The 18,961-nt window shown below is 42.3% G+C and overlaps 1 protein-coding gene across 1 annotated transcript, besides 2 other annotated features; it reads right to left on the bottom strand.

Annotated features, from left to right (window-relative positions):
• Positions 1-170: an enhancer, noted in NCBI's record as "experimental_45593 CRE fragment used in MPRA reporter constructs". NCBI's record gives its function as "activates a minimal promoter by MPRAs in K562 erythroleukemia cells, with activity observed for both the introgressed and non-introgressed 16:78067192 variant alleles {active_cell/tissue: K562}" and the evidence as "EXISTENCE:reporter gene assay evidence [ECO:0000049][PMID:34662402]".
• Positions 1,279-10,832, bottom strand: CLEC3A (C-type lectin domain family 3 member A). The gene is made up of 3 exons (NM_005752.6): positions 10,639-10,832; positions 5,190-5,273; positions 1,279-2,933 (listed from the first exon to the last, which is right to left on the bottom strand). The coding sequence occupies exons 1-3, from the start codon at positions 10,751-10,753 to the stop codon at positions 2,539-2,541; spliced, it is 594 nt and encodes a 197-aa protein (NP_005743.5). The 5' UTR covers positions 10,754-10,832; the 3' UTR covers positions 1,279-2,538.
• Positions 13,028-13,197: an enhancer, noted in NCBI's record as "experimental_45548 CRE fragment used in MPRA reporter constructs". NCBI's record gives its function as "activates a minimal promoter by MPRAs in K562 erythroleukemia cells, with activity observed for both the introgressed and non-introgressed 16:78054165 variant alleles {active_cell/tissue: K562}" and the evidence as "EXISTENCE:reporter gene assay evidence [ECO:0000049][PMID:34662402]".

Genomic DNA, 18,961 nt, shown 5'->3' with positions numbered 1-18,961 from the left:
TCAAGTGGTACAATCATGGCTCCTTGCAGCCTCAAACTCCTGGGCTCAAGCAATCCCCCTGCCTCAGCCTCCCAAGTAGCTGGGACTACAGTCATGTGCCATCACACTTGGCTAGTTTTTAAATTTTTTTTGTAGAGACCATGTCTTGCTGTGTTGCCCAGGCTGGTCTTGAACTCCTGACCTCAAGTAATCCTCCTGCCTCAGTCTCTGATGTCGTTGGGATTAGGGGCTTGAACCACCATGCTCAGTAACATTGGTTGTCTTTGTCTTTATTTGGGCCCTTGCAAAGGGGGAAGGAAAAACACCTTCTGTGAAGTAGCCTCAGACTGAATGCTTCTCAAGGTCAGCTGTTAGTCCAGATTGTTACTTCACCTAAGGAAATTGAGATACTGGATTAGAATCCACTCCCATTGCCTTTCTGAATGGGCTTTACCTTTTATTGCTCCCCATGGGTAGTAAGTATACAGGATCTGAGTCAGCTTGTTAAGTTCCAGTGACAGTTCCACTATTTCCTGGCCTGTGACTTAGGACAACTTAACTCTCTTTTTTTTCTTCTTCTGTAATATGAAATGATTCTAGAGCCTAATTCTCCAGGTTAAATTCCCAGGGTTGTTCCTCAAGATAAATGATAATTATATAAGATCTAGCATAGTACCTGAAATGTGAAGAGAATGCACTTACTCACCAGTGTCCACCCGTTTCATTATGGTCATTACCTTTACGAAGACTGTGGTTACGTTGGAAGTAGGGAGTTGGCCAAGATCAACCAGATATAATTGCAGCTACATTTTTTGCTGTTTTGAGACAAGGTCTTGCTCTGTCATCCACGCTGCAGTGTCGTGGCACAATCTGAGCTCATTGTAGCCTCAGCTTCCTGAGTTCAAGAAATCCTCCCAGCTCAGTCTCCCGAGTAGCTGGGATCACAGGTATGCCTTACCACACCTGGCTAATTTTGGTACTTTGTGTAGAGACAGGGTTTCGCCCTGTTGCCCAGGTTGGTCTTGAACACTTGAGCTCAAGTGATACGCCCACCTCAGCTTCCCAAAAAGCTGGGATTATAGGTGTGAGCCACTGCGCCCAGCCTCTGCAGCTAAAATTTTTTAAAAGTTTCCCTCCTCTAGCCAGACCATACCTCTTCATTGCCAGGTAAAATTGTTCTCTGAGTATATCCGAATCACCAGTTTGATTAAATTCAGGGTAATTCCCCTCAAACTCTGCCAAGTTTAATATAAACCAACATATTTTGAATAACTGTAATTAACACTCGAACACATTTTCTATTGATCAGAATTCAGGCTTTATTATTGAGCAATGAAAACAGCTAAAACTTAATTCCAAGCATGTGTAGTTAAAGTTTGCAAAGTGGGATATTGTTCACAAAACACATTCAATGTTTAAACACTATTTATTTGAAGAACAAAATATATTTAAAATTGTTTGCTTCTAAAAAGCCCATTTCCCTCCAAGTCTAAACTTTGTAATTTGATATTAAGCAATGAAGTTATTTTGTACAATCTAGTTAAACAAGCAGAATAGCACTAGGCAGAATAAAAAATTGCACAGACGTATGCAATTTTCCAAGATAGCATTCTTTAAATTCAGTTTTCAGCTTCCAAAGATTGGTTGCCCATAATAGACTTAAACATATAATGATGGCTAAAAAAAATAAGTATACGAAAATGTAAAAAAGGAAATGTAAGTCCACTCTCAATCTCATAAAAGGTGAGAGTAAGGATGCTAAAGCAAAATAAATGTAGGTTCTTTTTTTCTGTTTCCGTTTATCATGCAATCTGCTTCTTTGATATGCCTTAGGGTTACCCATTTAAGTTAGAGGTTGTAATGCAATGGTGGGAATGAAAATTGATCAAATATACACCTTGTCATTTCATTTCAAATTGCGGCTGGAAACTTCCAAAAAAAGGGTAGGCATGAAGAAAAAAAAAAAATCAAATCAGAACCTCTTCAGGGGTTTGTGTTCTGATATGGCAGACAAGATACAAGTCCCACCAGGAGATGGAGCAATTCAAAATAAGGGTAATGGGCTGACAAGGTATTATTGCCAGCATGGGACAGAATGAGCAACAGGCTGAAAAGTTTTTGGATTATATAGCACCTAGAGTCTCTGATGTAGGGAATTTTTGTTAGTCAAACATACGCTAAACTTCCAAGGGAAAATCTTTCAGGTAGCCTAAGCTTGCTTTTCTAGAGTGATGAGTTGCATTGCTACTGTGATTTTTTGAAAACAAACTGGGTTTGTACAAGTGAGAAAGACTAGAGAGAAAGATTTTAGTCTGTTTAGCAGAAGCCATTTTATCTGCGTGCACATGGATCAATATTTCTGATCCCCTATACCCCAGGAAGGGCAAAATCCCAAAGAAATGTGTTAGCAAAATTGGCTGATGCTATCATATTGCTATGGACATTGATCTTGTGTTGCAATTTTTTAATAAGTAAAAATTATGATTTTTACTTGATCTTAGAGATCATGAACCTATAAGTTATGATGAATCTTGCTTGGAGGACACATTGGAGAAAGACCTATTGAGGGATGGTGAACTCGCATATGTATCTCTTGCTGCTGCGACAGGCCTCATCACTCCACTTGCCCTGAGCTGATTGGGAGAACAGGACACAGTTTTCTCGCTTGCCACCGTTAGGCTGTGCACGGTCCCAGTTGAGGAAGGAGATAGCGATTCCGTTGACGTCAACAAACTTGCCTTCCGTGACCATGTCATTGATGCCCAGCCAAAAGTCATTGACACCTGGCAGGCTCCTTTTACCATAGTCTTGGAGGGCGTTGATTTCGTCGGAGTTCCTGGGGATAACCAGGATTCCTCCTTTGGAAATGCAGTCTTCATTGGCCTCATGGAAATGCTTCAAACCTTCTGAAGCAAGGTAGCATTTCTTGTGAACTTTAGTGCCTCGGAGACAGACTGTGAAGATGTGAAGTGTAACATATTAAGATGCATTTTGAGTGTATTATGACTAGGGCTGGACCTGGCAAATAGCAATAAGTATTTGTGGAATGAAGTATGATAATGATGAGACAACAGTTAAAATTTTCTATGTGCCGGACAACATGCTAAGCATTTTACATAAATTAAGTTACATAATCCTGACAACCCCATGAAGTTGTATTTTATTACCCCTATTTTTACATATCAGGATATTTAGGCTTAGAGAAGTTGTTACTTGTAACACCTTAGCATTTTTTTTTTTTTTTTTTTGAGTTGGAGTCTCGCTCTGTCGCCCAGGCTGGAGTGCAGTGGCGCCATCTCGGCTCACTGCAAGCTCCGCCTCCCGGATTCACGCCATTCTCCCGTCTCAGGCTCCCGAGTAGCTGGGACTACAGGTGCCTGCCACCACACTCGGCTAATTTTTTGTATTTTTAGTAGAGACGGGATTTCACCGTGTTAGCCAGGATGGTCTCGATCTCCTGACCTCATGATCCGCCTGCCTCGGCCTCCCAAAGTGCTTGGATTACAGGCGTGAGCCACTGCGCCTAGCCACATTTTTTTAAATGAAGTAATTTTTGCAGCATGTGAGATCACAGCTACCCAAATGCAGGTCTGCCCTATCCCAAGACATGGCCTTAAACTTCATGCTGTTCTGATATATACATGCTTGCTACTCTGTGTTGGATTTCTTTGGGAGTTTTGGAACTAGATGGTATTTAATATTTATTTTTAAAAATATTTGTTTAAAAAAAAAATGCTTGGCGTGGTGGCTCACACTTATAATCCCAGCACTTAGGGAGGCAGAAGCGGGTGGATCACAAGGTCAAGAGTTCAAGACCAGTCTGGCCAACATAGTGAAACCCCGTCTGTACTAAAAATACAAAAAATTAGCTGGATGTGGTGGTGTGTGCCTATAATCCCAGCTACTCAGGAGGCTGAAGCAGGAGAATCGTGCGAACCTGGGAGGCAGAGGTTGCAGTGAGCCGAGATTGCGCCATTGTACTCCAGCCCGGGCAACAGTGCAAGACTCTGTCTCAAAAATCAATCAATCAATCAATCAATTAAATTCTAGTTTTGCATGTGGAGAGACAGGGATTTTCTTAAGCAGATAACTGAGCCTTGGTAATATTGTTTAGATTATTCAGGATAAACTGAGCATAAAGATAGTTTTAGGCCGTAGCACTGGAGAGTCAGGCCTCAGAGCCCATAGTGCCTGGGTTTAGGTCTCATCTCTGACATTTAACTAGCTGTGTATCTCTTGAACAAATTACTTACCTTCTTTGTGCCTCATTTTCCTCATCTGTAAAATTAGGATCATAATAGCTTAAGTTGCTGGAGGATTAATGGATTTGTGTTTATAAAGAATTTCTAGTACCTGACTGTGGGTAAAGGATGAACCAAACTCACCTTCTGCATAAGCATTTGACTGTCTTTTAACTTTCTAATTCTGTTCCCCCGGAAGCCTGATAAAGGGAGTATGTCACCCTTGTTACTAGGCAACATTGCTTGTGGTAAAAATGACCCCAGGTTGGTAACATGCATCTGGTCTGGGAGTTATAAATACTTGATGGAAAGCCGTAACTTCAGTCTTCCCTGAAGGCAGTAACTTGTAATGAGGCAGGTCTCTTGTGAGGAACCTCAACACCTTGCTTTTGAAATTGCTACAAAGGATATTAGCTCCTTGGGGGATGAGCCTTGTAAACCAGGGCTGTTCCCAAACCTGCCCACATGGCTCACTTCCTCACCCCTTGGAGAATAGCTCCTGGGCAGTAGCGCATGTGGCTGCATAACTGTGGGGAGGAACGCTGGCGCTGCCCTGTTGGCAAGCTGCGGTTCTAACCCATGTCCTTCCAGCATCTTAGGCTGGGTGTGGCCCGAGAGAGTCCTGGTGGCCTGATAGGCACTTAGCTATCATCCAATAAATGCTAATCATTTTAGTCATTTCATACTGGCTTCATTCTGTTTCACTACTCTTTAGAGAATAAGTATGGACTGACTTTTCAAATTTATTCCTGAACTACTTATTTTTATTTCTATACCACCCATATATAGGAGAATGGGATTGTAAATGAAGCTGATTTCCTAAAACAATCATCTCCCGGCATTGGGGCCCTCTTATTGGCCACATTATTGATTTGTCAATGTTTCTTTTAAAAAGACGTCCCCCAGAAATTGACCCAGAAATTTTCCTGTCTCCTTTGGGACAAGGCACTGAGAAGGTCTGCACCTTACCTGTCTGCAGGGCTTGAATTTCCTTCAAGGCATTGACTTCTGTCCAGAGCTTTTCAATTTGAGTCTTCAGATCTCCATCCTTGTCTGGGGAAAATTTTAGGGTGGGATGGGGTAGGTGGATGAAAAGCGTATGATTAAAATAAAATCAAGCTTTGGAATGTAGGACCCAAGGCAATAGTGGTTTTGGTGAACCTGAGCCCAGTGTATACAAAAAATAATGCGTGAAAATAACTTGGGGCTGGCGAAGTGGCTCACGCCTGTAATCCCAGCACTTGGGGAGGCCAAGGCGGGTGGACCACTTGAGGCCAGGAGTTCGAGACCAGCCTGGCCAACATAGCAAAACCCTGTCTCTACTAAAAGTATAAAAATTAGCTGGGCATGGTGTTGAATGCCTGTAATTCCAGCTATTTGGGAAGCTGAGGCATGAGAACTGCTTCAACTTGGGAGGCAGAGGTTGCAGTGAGCAAAGATCATTCCACTGCACTCCAGCCTTGGTGAGGGAGTGAAACTCTGTCTGAAAAAAAACCAAACAAACAAAAAAACAATGAATGAAGGAAAGAAGGAAGGAAAAAAAGAAAAAGAAAATAACTTGGACAGGAAGATTCTTAAGAGCTTCATGGCAATCATAATACTAGAAGGTCCTTCTGTGAGATGAGGCTCCTTCTGTCTCTCCAGTCACATCCTGTGACTCTAGGCTTGTTGACTTTCAGGGTCATCTGAGAATGAGCTCAATCTCATCTTCCCTGTGTGTTCCTTCTGCTAGGATCACTCTTGCTCCAGCGCTTTCCTGTATTCTTAGCAAGCTTAAATATCTCCTCTTCTGAGAAGGCTTTCCTGGTTATACTATAATTTAGTATCCCTTCTGCTAATCTGTCTTTGAAACTTATTTTTCTTCATTCTCTAGTCTCAGTTCACATTTTATTTTATTCCATATTTTATAGAGTATTCTGTATATTTTCTTTTCTCTATTTTACTTTATTTCATCTGTCTTATTATTCTTGGTTCTTCTGATGCTTAACATGATACTTGGTACATAATAGGTGTTCATAATATTGTCTAGTGAATACACACTTTATGGTATACAAAATTGTTTTCACTTGCTCTTCAAACATAGCTATGAAGGGAGAAAAATTGGATTCCCACTGAAGAATGAGGACAAGTCCAATGAGAGTGTCTCAAAAGATACATGGCAGAATTCATACTCTGACTGATTTGGGTCCCCAGGTCCCCTGTCCCCAGTGTTCCGACTCAACACATGCCTCAGGTATGGTGGCTACTAGCAGGGTTAAGTGCTAAAGGTTCATATAGAAATACGTCTATATTAGGTATTAGCAACTTAAGTCTTGTATGTTCCTGGATGAGGCTAAAGGATCTTTATAGCTGTCCTTGACCAATCTTGGCTATAAGTAAGTGGCAGAAAACAAGAAGCCTTGGATAAATTGAAATTTCAGGTGTAATAAGGATTCTCTTAGAGATTGGCAGCTTGTGAGGTCTTCAAAAGCAGGAATTATAAATCATAACAAAAATTATTAAAAGCTTCCACATACTGTTTGTCAGAGATCAATTCTTTCAGTAGTGCTTTGAGAGAGACACAATCATTGTCTCCATTCTGCAGAAGAAAGAGTCCCGGAAAGCTGAATTCACCTGCTGAAGGTCACCCAGCTAGTAAAGTGAAGAATTGGGATTTAAATTTGCCCAGCTCCAGGCCTGTTCTCATTTCATCCCTCTTACCTGCTTCTGCACAGTGATTGCCTCTACCTTCTTGGTCCCGAGCACATGGCCCCAGACAGAGAAGATACTTAAAGCTTGGTATGAACTGTTCCCAGCTGCTTCTTTGTGGGGATTCCATGGAGGAAGTCTATGTTCTGTACTGGATTTTTCAGGACAGTCTAAAATTCACATGTGCTAATTCACTGTCCCCTTAAACATGTGCTTCATAAGCCAGATGTTTCCTCATTTGGGTTAGGAAGCTGTCTTCTGGAATATCCAGGGGTGGCCCCTGCCTCTGTTTTACTTAATGCTACACATCAGTTCTCAAAGCATCCCATGGCTCAGCTCAGAAATACTATAACCTAAAGATTTTTACCTGTGTGACCATTTAATCCAGAAAAAATGTAAGGGTGCATTCAGAATGCAAATTCATCAGCTGGTGGGGGCCGGGCTTGCAAAGACTGCTGAACACTTTCTTCCAAGGTATAAGCTGTCACCTCTAAAAATGTCATCCCCCATCCCTCTCAGCTTCCTGCTCCATTCTCCTTAAATAAGTGGCCTCTACTGGGAGATTGTAAACATTGTAATTAACATGAAGACACATGAATTGATATTAGGCTCCTGGGAGATGGTTATGAAATTCATTGTCCAGGGACTTGGCTGTAGCTTCCATCCTTTGTAGCTGATATAGATGTCTTTTATGTACAACAAACAAAGGGAATATGTGGAACAACTACTGAGCTGGAAAAGTCATATTTTATTCATGAATGCAACACATAAATTGAGACCTATGAAGCAAGTACCAGAGAGATCTTGTGTTTGAAGCTAAATTCTTCGGTTGCTATTTTGAGTCCCCCAGAAGGCTCCCTTTCATTTTACTGTTGCTCTCCAGAGGTAGACACAGTGTAGAAACACAAAAGTCATTCCCAGAAGACATGGCCAGTAAAACCATTATATGATGTTGGACTGTCAAAATACATAGGAATGGGCACTCCCATACACAGAAGATGGGAAGATGGATTGGTGTTATCATTTGGAGGGACAATTAGAAAGTATAATTAACCTGCAATTTTACTTCTGGAAATGTCTCATAACATCCTAACATGGGGAGCAGTATGTGTGCAAAGCAGTTACTTGGGGCTATTGAATCAAAAAGAGATGTATTGGGAGAGATCAGATTAAGTGATGACCCATCCAAACAATGGAATATTATGCAGCTGTTAAAATGAATAAAGTATTGCTTACACTGGTAACTATCCAAGGTTTAATAGATGAAATAAATTTATTTGCCTAGCCAAACATTCTGCATAGCCAATTCTTATTTTGTTAAAAATATGTATTTTAATTGTGCATTTTAAAAACTCTGGGAATAGGCTGGGTATGATGGCTCATGCCTGCAATCCCATCACCTGAGGTCAGGAGTTTGAGACTAGCCTGGCCAACATGGTGAAACCCCATCTATACTAAAAAAGATGTATGTACAAATATCAGCTGGGCATGGTGGCGAGCACCTGTAGTCCCAGCTACTTGAGAGGCTGAGGTACTAGAATTGTTTGAACCTGGTGGGTAGAGGTTGCAGTGAGCCGAGATCACACCACTGCACTCCAGCCTGGGTGGCAGAGTGAGACTCTGTCTCAAAACAAACAATCCTACAAAAAACAAAACACAAAACTTCTGGGAATAGTATTACCTGATAGTTAATAGTGGATAATTTTGTGGTGAGGATTGGGAGAGAGAAGATGGCTTTCACTTTTGATCTCTTTAACACTGGTATTATTATATTTCAAGGTACTTAAACTATTTTAAAAGTATATGGATGGGTGGGGATATAATTGCTTGATCGGTTTAGGTTTATTGCTTCACCTACTGTAGAATCTACTTTCTAGGACCTAATGGCAAAAAGTAGCAAAAACTATACTGGGGGAATGACATTTAAGAGGTGTGTACCTAGTCAGTTTTGTTTTGTTTTGTTTTTAAATAAAAGCATGTGCATGCACATGTGGTTATGACAGAGGCAGTGGGGAAGAAGGGGGTAAAGAAGTGGGAAAGAAGGTAGGGAGAGAGAAGAGAGTGGGAGGAGGAAGGGGAGGGAGGCCCCTGGAAAACCTGGATGTGACCTAAGCTGCGATTACTTCAGAAACACCCACACAGCACCCACATGCACACTCAGTCATGTTCAGACCCTCTTCACACATTCCTACTGGGTGATCGCCACTCTCACGAGGAGTGCCACTCCATCCAGCAGTGAAGAAACGCTGGCTACAGAAATGTACCATGTCACCCAGTATCTTCTCTCTCCCCTCTCCTTTCGATACCATCTTCAGCAATATGTTTCATCTACTCATGAGAAATATTTTAATCTTTCACCGAAAGAAGTACAGTATTTCTTAAGGAAAAAAGATTCCACTTAAGAAACCTTGCACTAGCCGGGCGCGGTGGCTCACGCCTGTAATTCCAGCACTTTGGGAGGCCGAGGCTGACGAATCACGAGGTCAGGAGATCGAGACCATCCTGGCTAACACGGCGAAACCTCGTCTCTACTAAAAATACAAAAAATTAGTCGAGCGTGGTGGCAGGCGCCTGTAGTCCTAGCTACTTGGGAGGCTGAGGCAGGAGAATGGCGTGAACCCAGGAGGTGGAGCTTGTAGTGAGCCAAGATTGTGTCACTGCCCTCCAGCCTGGGCGACAGAGCGAGACTCTGTCTCAGAAAAAAAAAAAAAAAAGAAACCTTGCACCAGACCTAAATTTTGTAAATAAATGTCCCTGAAAAAATGGTACTTTATAATCCTTAAAGCACAAGACCCCTTTTTACCCACCAGCCATCTGTCATGTGAAATAGACTGTAACCTTGCTGAAATTTGTGTATGTGTGTGTTGTTACTAATGGAGTGAAAATAAGGAAATAGTCATAATCTGAAATATCCTGAAATGAAAATGATGCAGAGGATGTGATAAAACATGACCCTCTGTCTTGTTTTTTTCTTTTGCTTAGGTTTCAACGTATTGCAAACACCTCGCTATCATCATTGTTCTTTTCAATTTCTTTAACCTGTTAACCCAATTCAAGTCACTCAAAATTTGAGGTTCCTGGGAGATTCAGTTTTGCATCACAATGCCTTCAAATACTAGATGACTTTGCATATTGACTTTTTTAAGTTGGAGAGATTCAATGTCTCTGACATGAAAAAGTTTAAATATATGGTATAGGTTGTCCTTATGCTGCCAAGGATATGGAAATACAGCTAATGATAACTAATGACAAAACAGGAAGTCACCATTACCAAAATCTCTATCCTCTGCTACACATTGAATAAGATTATAGTTATCTTAAAATATAACTGAATTGAGTTACTCAATATCTACTAGTGAAACAGTGTGCTCAGTTAATACATTCTTCTTGCCCCATATTAATAACACCAGATTTTCAGAAATCCACTTGAGCTTCCTCTGAAGCACATTCTATTTAAGCCCACCTAACAAAAAATATACAACACAGAATTCTTTTACTATCAAATTTTTTCCCTGTTGTTTTTTTTTAAAACCCAGCAGCCTGGTTTCTTTAAAATAAACTATCCCAGAGCATTACAAGTTCACTTAATCCCCTGAAATGCCATATAGGGATGATGGCATGGTGCCATCACCGAAGATAGTCTCCTGGAGGAGTTTGAAAATTAACATTGTCCAGCACCTCCCCACACTGTCTAAGCCTAGAATTTTGCTTGATTGAGAAGCCCCATTACCTCTCACTCGACGTTTGCTGTGCTTCCTGGCTTTTAATCTGGATGTGTGGCTGGTGGTCTGGTCCAGGAGTAAGGTGATCACCAGGATGCAAATTACAAGTCCATTCTTTGCCATGGCTCTGGGGCAAGCCTGCTGAGCCATGTTGCCAGCCCCCTTAGAGCAGCTATGGAAGGAGACTACACAGCTACATCTTGCTCTGGGATGCCTGGGGCTGGCTTATAAAAGTGAGCTTCGGAGGTTGGCTGGAATCCTGCTGACGGAATGTTTGAATGCCTCTGCTGGCCACAGCATAAGGTGGCCTCTTGTTCTTGTGCCTCATGTTAGGCTTTCTATTTATTTAATTTCTGCTGCATTTCCTAGTGATTTGCCTTTTTGGAGTGTGTCAAACTTAACTACAGGTTTAGCCTGCTTTCTTTTTTTAAATTTAAACTCTGAGAAGATTGGGGTCTTTGTGAAAAATTCTTTGATTTGGAACTCTGAAATTCACTAAATGTTCTGGAAAATGGATTCAATTTAGTTTTCAGGGCAAAAAAAAAATTGGAGAAAAAGGAAAGTTACTGCGTGTGTGTGTGTGTGTGGTGCCACAGCACCATTCAAGCCAGTGTGTCTACTCATACTCATGTGTCTGCGCAGCTCAAGTGTAGCTTGGAAGTAGTTTTCTCAGTGGGATTTATGGAGATTGCGGAAATAGATACTCGATGATAAAATATAGGGCTTTCCTCCATTAGGATTTTGTAGACTCATCAAGAATTACTTCCTTGGGGCTGCATGTGGTGGCTCACACCTGTAGTCCCAGTGGGAGGCCGAAGTGGGTGGATCCCTTGAGGTCAGGAGTTCGAGAAGAGCACGGGCAACATGGCGAAACACCATCTCTACAAAAAAATAAAAAAATTCATCAGGCATGGTGGCACACATTTGTAATGCCAGCTACCTGGGAGGTTGAGGTGTGAGAATCACCTGAGCCCCAGGAGTTCGAGATCACTGCCCTCCAGCCCGGGCAAATTACTTTCTTGGGAAAATGTACCTTACAGTGAAAAGAAAATTTTAAAAAGTGAATTATTTCCATTAGAATAAGAATTAATGTAATAGATCAATAGCTATTTTTTCAGGTCCTCACCAATCATTTTTCCTTGAACACATTAAACAACACTTTCAAGTGCATGATGTAATAGCACAGAAACCTAGTGAGAGACTCGCCGGGCGTGGTGGCTCACGCCTGTAATCCCGGCACTTTGGGACGCTGAGGTGTGTGGATCACTTGAGGTCAGGAGTTCGAGACCAGCCTGGCCAACATGAGGAAACCCTGTCTCTACTAAAAAACGCAAAAAGATTAGTTGGGCGTGGTGGCAGGAGTCTGTAGTCCCAGCTACTCTGGAGGCTGAGGCAGGAGAATCGCTTGAACTCACAAGGCAGAAGTTGCAGTGAGCCGGGATTTTGTCACAGCACTCCAGCCTGGGCGACGGAGCCAGACTCCTTCTCAAATAAAAAATAAAAATAAAATTAATGTAATGAGAAACTCAATTATTCCTACCTTTAACCATAGGCTTTAAGGGCAAGTTTTCGGGACCTGATAGGCTTTTGCATCAAAAGCAATGGACTTGCATTACAGGAATAGCCGAGAGGGAGGAATTTAGACCCAGGGAAAGGCCTTCCTGCATTCCACATGCTTATTTGGCTGACCAGGTGCAAATGGAGGGCAGTGGTTGCAGATTTGGAAGGTCTGAAGGACCAAGTTCATTTTGCCTTTGTTTTTTCTTTGAGACAATACAGAAAGAATCAAGGAATGAGTGCTTCCTTCTGAATCTTAATGAGAAAAACCACAGTCTATTTCATCTTCATTTCCTCCAAGTTAAAGCCATTTTGTAACCTACCAATATAGTAAGACCATAGTAAGACCACTGATGTAGGAAAGTCTGACATGATTCAGCAAAGTAACTGTACAATTAAAGATCTGACCTCCGGTGTTGACTCTTTGTACCAACATGGGCAGTTAATGCATGGGCATTTGAGAACATTGTGAAGACAGGCTGAGCTCAGTTCACAACCTACCGCTTAGCTGTGTGATCTCAGGCAAGTCAATAAACCTCTATAAGGCTTCTCTCATCTTAACAGTGGGGGCTAGGAATGCTTATTTTACAGGGCTGTTGGAAAGATTAAATGAGATAATGGCTATGAAGCACTTAGCGCAATGTCCAGTATTTAATAATAAGATCCTTACCATTAATTACAATGGTACATACAATTTATGGAATGCCATCTTTTTAGTCTTCACAGCAAGCCTGTGGGATAAGTAATAATATTATCTCCATTTTAAAGGTGATTGAGCCTCAAAAGTTAAGTGGTTTTTGTCTAACATCACTAAGATCTCAAGGAACTGAGTAGAAATTACAATCCAGTTTTGATTAACTCCAGAAGACCTGGGCTGTGAAAATGTGCTTTGGTTTGAACAGGGGAAAAGATCAATGATTTACACCTGATCTTACAATTGATCAAAAATTTTCTTTGCCATCTTCCTAAATCCTTTTAAAAAAATTTCAAGTTATGGGCCAGGTGTGGTGGCTCGTGCCTATAATCTTAGCACTTTGGGAGGCCGAGGCAGGAGGACTGCTTGAGCCCAGGACTTTGAGACCACCCTGGGCAATATGATGAGATCCTATCTCTACAAAAAACAGAAAAAATTAGCCGGGTGCGGTGGCACGTGCTCGTGGTCCCAGCTTGCTTAGGAGGCTGAAGTAGGAGGATGACTTGAGCCCAGGAAGTTGAGGCTACCATAGCCTCAACCGTGGTGGCCCATGTTTGCACAACTACACTCCAGCATGGGCAACAAATCAAGACTTTGTCTCAAAACACAAAATATCTTGAATTAATGTTGTGTATTTGTCACAACTGCTGAATGAATACTGATGTTAGTATTAACTGAAGTCCACAGGTTACATTAGGGTTCATTTTGGTAGTATTCGTCCTGTGGGTTTGGACAAAGGTATAGTGTTGTACTGAATAGTTTCACTGAAACTATTAGCTATTAACTATTCACTGGGATATTTAACCCCTGCTTTTTGTTCTAATTAAATATTTGAGAATTCACCTCTTCCTCACTTCCGGTGCCTGGTGCTCCTCAGAGCTCTCCTTTGGCTGCTCTAATTCCCCTATACTCTCTCCCTAGAAGACCTTAATTCTTCTCATGGCTTCAGAGTGCTGTCTGTGGCTCCCGCATCAGCCTCCCCAACCTGGAGCTCCTCCCTTCAGTCTCATATTTCCAGTTGTCCATGTGACACTTAGAATTCAATGTCTCAGACATTTCTAACCCATGATAGTCAAATATTGAATTCTAGCTGCTTCTCTCACTAATGACCTATGAACTTAAGTCTCATTCCTCCAGAGTCTCCCTTGTCATAGTTAATGTCTCCACCCACTCAATGGGCCAATTCAGAAACATGGGAGGCATTTATGAGGCCCCTGTCCTTGCCCTCAACACCCTTCCCCACGACCTTGTCAGCAGCAAGTGCCCCCACATACGTGTTGATTCGTGACCTTTGTTCTTCACTCCTGCCATCATCATCCCATTCCAAGTCAAGAGCTCTTGTCCTAACCCATCCCAACTCAGCCCCTTTCCAATTCAAATGGATGCACCACGCATCACTAATGAAATTGTCACTCACCTACTTGAAACCCTCCAGAATTTTCCATTGCATTTAAAATGAAACCCACATTGCTTATCATGATTGCTGAGGCCCTTTTACCTGGTTCTTCCTGGTGACTTGTTCCAGTTGCAAAGACCGTTTGCCATTTCTAAATCCTATCTAAGTCTCTTCCCACACCCCCACTGTGCTTTCTCTCATGGGTTTTCTGTCAGTCCACTCCATGCCTTCCCAAACTTGATATCTCGGTGTGTGCTGTTTTGTATAAGGCCAACTCCACCTTGTCCTTCAGGTCTGAACTCACATGCTACCTCCACAGAGAAGCCTTCTCAATGTGCATAATCTAGAAAGGTCCTGCCCTGTGGTTCTCCATCAAAGTACCCTGCTTCCTTGATAGGCTTCATCACAATTTGCTTCTCATTTAAAGACTTACCTACTTAATTGATTTACTTGCTGGATGCTGGTCTGTAAACTCCTGCAGGGCAGGGGCTATGTCAGGTTAGTTCAACCATGCATGTGATATGACACATGGCACATAGTATTTGCTCAATAATTATTTTTGAATGTGTGGCTGAACAGCTTTGCTTTTGCTTCCTTCTCTTCCCACCGCCTCTCTAAGGCAACAAGGCATTTGGCCAACCAAGGAAAACAGCAACGCAACCCATGGAAGAGTAAAGAGACTGAGACTCATCTGTTGTACCAGCACTTGGAGTCACACTAAGAAATCATCACACTCGGCACTGGAGAAGCTCTGCTTGTCTTGTGGATTCTTGGCCCTGAGGCCAGACAGGGACAGAAGCTGTCCTTTAACTTGTCTTCCTCCTGTAGGAATTCCAACTCCAGCTTATCCCTCTTCAGGGAAAAAGCAGAGAAAATGAAATAAACTAAATGGCTGACAGGATTGGCTAGGAGAAGAGGAAGTGGGATGAGGGTCTGTGGATAGTGATGGACCTCAGAACATTCTCACGTGAAGGTTTTTCTCCCTGTCACAAATGCTGACGGACATCAGACATGGCCTTCCCATTTAGGTGAGGCTCTCCCCCTCATATCTTATCAGGAAATGCACGTGGGATGGCAGAGACCTGAAAAAAAAAATCACATCAAAAAAAAAAAAAAAAAGAAATCACACACATCAAAGATAACAGGGTGGGGTGACCCCTGCCCCACCTTGTCTTTGGGGAAGGCAGATCTCACTGTTTCATTGGAGGCTGAACAATTCCTTTTTTGTAGAGCAGGATGATGTCACCAGCTTGTCTCCTGGGCTGGACCTGGGGTTCTGAAAGGACTGTTTAAGAAGAAACACCACATTTATAGCCAGGGATAGACGCTATAAAAATATTGCTTTTAGACAAAAAGCGTTTTGATGATGATTTTAAAACTGTCACCAGGGTTTCATTTTCTTTAATAAATGGCTGTTTGCAACACATTCACTGACCACCCTGTGCCATTGGTGTGTTTATTCCACTGGATGCTATTTTAAAATTGCTCTAAGCTGTTTTCCAGAGTCTTGAATTCTAATAAACAAATCTATCCGGCCTGATGGTTATTTCTCCATGAATACTCAAGGCCAAACATGTTTAAAGGCTGTGTTCAAAGGTTCCAGGGTAGCATTTAAAGGAAGCGATAGGACTGCACTTGGATATAGCACAGGCAACCTGAAATGTTTATAGGAAAGGTCGGTTTCTGTATACGTGCAAAGCTGCCTTTGGCTTTCTACTTCCGTTTCTACTCTGGCTACTGTGGCTATTACTTGTAGCTGGCTATTACTTGTTAAAGAATTTACAGAAAGGGATGGTGACAGGTTTTAGGGAAGAGGATTAAGAGACTGCTAAATTGGAGCAGTGCCGCATATAGGCCAAGAACAAGAACTCTTGATAGTTTGGGATTAAAGTCTCAGATCTGTTGTTTATTGCTTTTGCCTCAGGGGTTGGACTTCCTCATGTCTCTGAACCTTGATGTTCCGATCGATTTTTGCAGACCGTTGAGGAAGCCAGAGCATGTGTCTACAAGACAGACGCATCTCATTACAGTAGGTGAACAATCAAAGGGTGTCTGGGTTTCCTGCACTACCATCATACAGGTACACAACCCATCATACTTGCATAAGGTTCTCAGACTTGCCACTGCCCTGGCCCCAGTCTCGCAGATTTGGTTCCATGTGCACCCATGGTAAACACGCTTCTACTAGAGAACTTCTAAAACATGCAGTTATTTTATATTACCCCCCACCCTTAGCCAAATATTTGGCCTTAGAGATGCACATTGTCTTATTCTCTTCTGATCTTCTAGACTAGTGCTGTACAATAGAATTACTGGATGACCACATGTGGCCAGCGGCTGCCATACTTGATAGCATAGTTCTAGTGTCTAGCAAATGGACTAATGTTTAGGGGGGCATTTTGTAAATGGGTATTATATAAAATTGTTCAACCAAGAGGTTTTACAGTCAATAGATAGGTGACTTAGATTCAATTCGTCTTATCCTAGGCACTGTGCTAGATTTTAAATGTAAATCTAGTAAGGAAGATATAAATATCCTTGTCTTATAGAAGATGAGACCCAGGCTTAGTGAATTTTCTTAGACTTCTCAACTTCTAAGAGTTGGTCAGACTTGAGTCTCCCATATTGGGGCTTGGCTGGGGGTGCGGCCCACCTGGTGGTGAAGGGATATGGGGCTTTTTGGGCTTACCTAGGAGGTCATTGTGAAATTTCTGGTAAAGTCAGGGCAGCAAGATTAGAACAACAGAATCTCAAGTTAAGGAAAGACTTGCAGTCATCAAATTCGCGTTGATACTTGCATCCCTGATGCAACAACAGCTGGCAAGTCTCTGAACATTGTCCATGATGGAAAATTGACTACCTAGAAGCAAGGCTGCTAGTTTTACTGCTAGAACATTGTGTCTTACCCAGAAGGCATTCCTCCTTCTCTTCTGCCTCCTTTACTGTCTTATTATGACCAGCCCTCTCTCTTGAAAACCTGTAAGGAAAGATACAGCCCCCAATTTAATTCACGAAGTTCCCCTGACATTGCTGTACTTGACTTGCTCTGTTTCCACCACTTCCACCATTACTGTAAGCTCTTTGGGTTCTCGCTGCTTAGGTTACAGCTGCCTCTGACTGGTTCCCTCTGGTTCTACTCTGTGCACATGGTTGTCACCTCTCTAAGCTGGTGTCTAATGTGTGATTTCATCTTATACCAGCTCCCTTCCCTCTTCTAGGACCCAGTGTTCTCCTGGCTCCTTCCCATCAGACATGATGCTGAGGCCACTGTACTCTTGGCCCCACACAACCAGACACCTCACTTCTATACTTCCCAAAGCAACTTGCAGTCGTGGAAAAATGCACAAATGACATCTCACAGACCTGGAGTTGAACTGTGGTGCTCTCGTTTGCCAGCTCTGTGATTTGGGCAAGCTCACCAACCTCTCTGAGCCTCATATTCCTCTATCTTGGGGATCATAAAGACTGTTTACCAGCAACGATGGGGAGATTAAACAGATGCCCTGAGAACAGTTAGGATAATGGCTGATATCCATTAGAGATATTTAATATGTGGAATTACTACTAATGATTATCATGGTTAAAATAATATCTTAGTTCTTACCAACTTGACCCTGAAGTCCATTCCTCTCCATGCATCCAGCCTGTCCCCATCTGGTTGTCCCCTCTACCTTGTCCTCCAGCACTCACTGCAGTGAACAGTCCATTTTTAAAGGAAGGCAAGCATTTGGTTGATCTGTTTTTCCTAGGTGTACTGACATATAAAATTTATTGTGATTTTTGCCTGATCCTGCTGCCAGATACTCCAAGAATACAAAAAAAGCCAGTATTCCTCTCCCTTTCACCAAAAGCAAGGGCAGCCCAGAGTGGAAAAATCTTCCTAATTCCTCTCTGTGGCCTTCCCAAGTTTAGACTTGGTAGAAACAGTTTTTGGCCTTCAGGTGACAACAACAGTGTTCTTGTTCTTCCTCAGAATTCAGAGGCTTGCTGACTCTAACTGTGCTTGAAGCAAGATGACTGCAGGTTGCAGAGTGAACCATTGGGAAAGTTTGCCTTTTTGGGGATGAACTGATTTTCCAACCCTGATGCTGGCGGAAATTGAGTGATGGAACTAAGGTCATCTGGTGCTCTCCTTGAGCTGCTTAATAAACAGTAAAGCTATTCCTTTCTATTTAAATGACATAAAAAGGAATTGATTTTTAGTCACCTTTCCAGGAAGTGCTTCCTGAACCTGAAAACCTGCATGGAGAAATTGAAGAAATTGTTCTTAAAGGGTAAACCAAGGAAATTGTGTCCAAGATCCCTGTTTCTCACAAAAAATAAGAAAAGGAACCAGGTAATTAGATGGATTGTTCGTTCAAGGCATTATGTACACTTCTTTTGGTTCTGAGGTTAATAAAGACAAAGAAGAGAAAAAGGCCAGGCACAGTGGCTCATGCCTGTAATCCCAGCACTATGGGAGGCCCCCTTGAGGCTAGGAGTTCGAGACCAGCCATGGCCAACATGGCAAAACCCCATCTCTATTAAAAATACAAAAATTAGCCAGCCATGGTGGTATGCACCTGTAATCCCAGCTCCTCAGGAGGCTGAGACACGAGAATTGCTTGCACCCGGGAGGTGGAGGTTGCAGTGAGCCAAGGTTGTGCCACTGTACTCCAGCCTGGGTGACACAGCAAGACTGTTT

The sequence above is a fragment of the Homo sapiens genome, chromosome 16 (assembly GCF_000001405.40).
Source record: "Homo sapiens chromosome 16, GRCh38.p14 Primary Assembly".
NCBI classification, from domain to species: Eukaryota; Metazoa; Chordata; class Mammalia; order Primates; family Hominidae; genus Homo; species Homo sapiens.
This window is presented reverse-complemented; position numbering and strand designations above follow the sequence as displayed.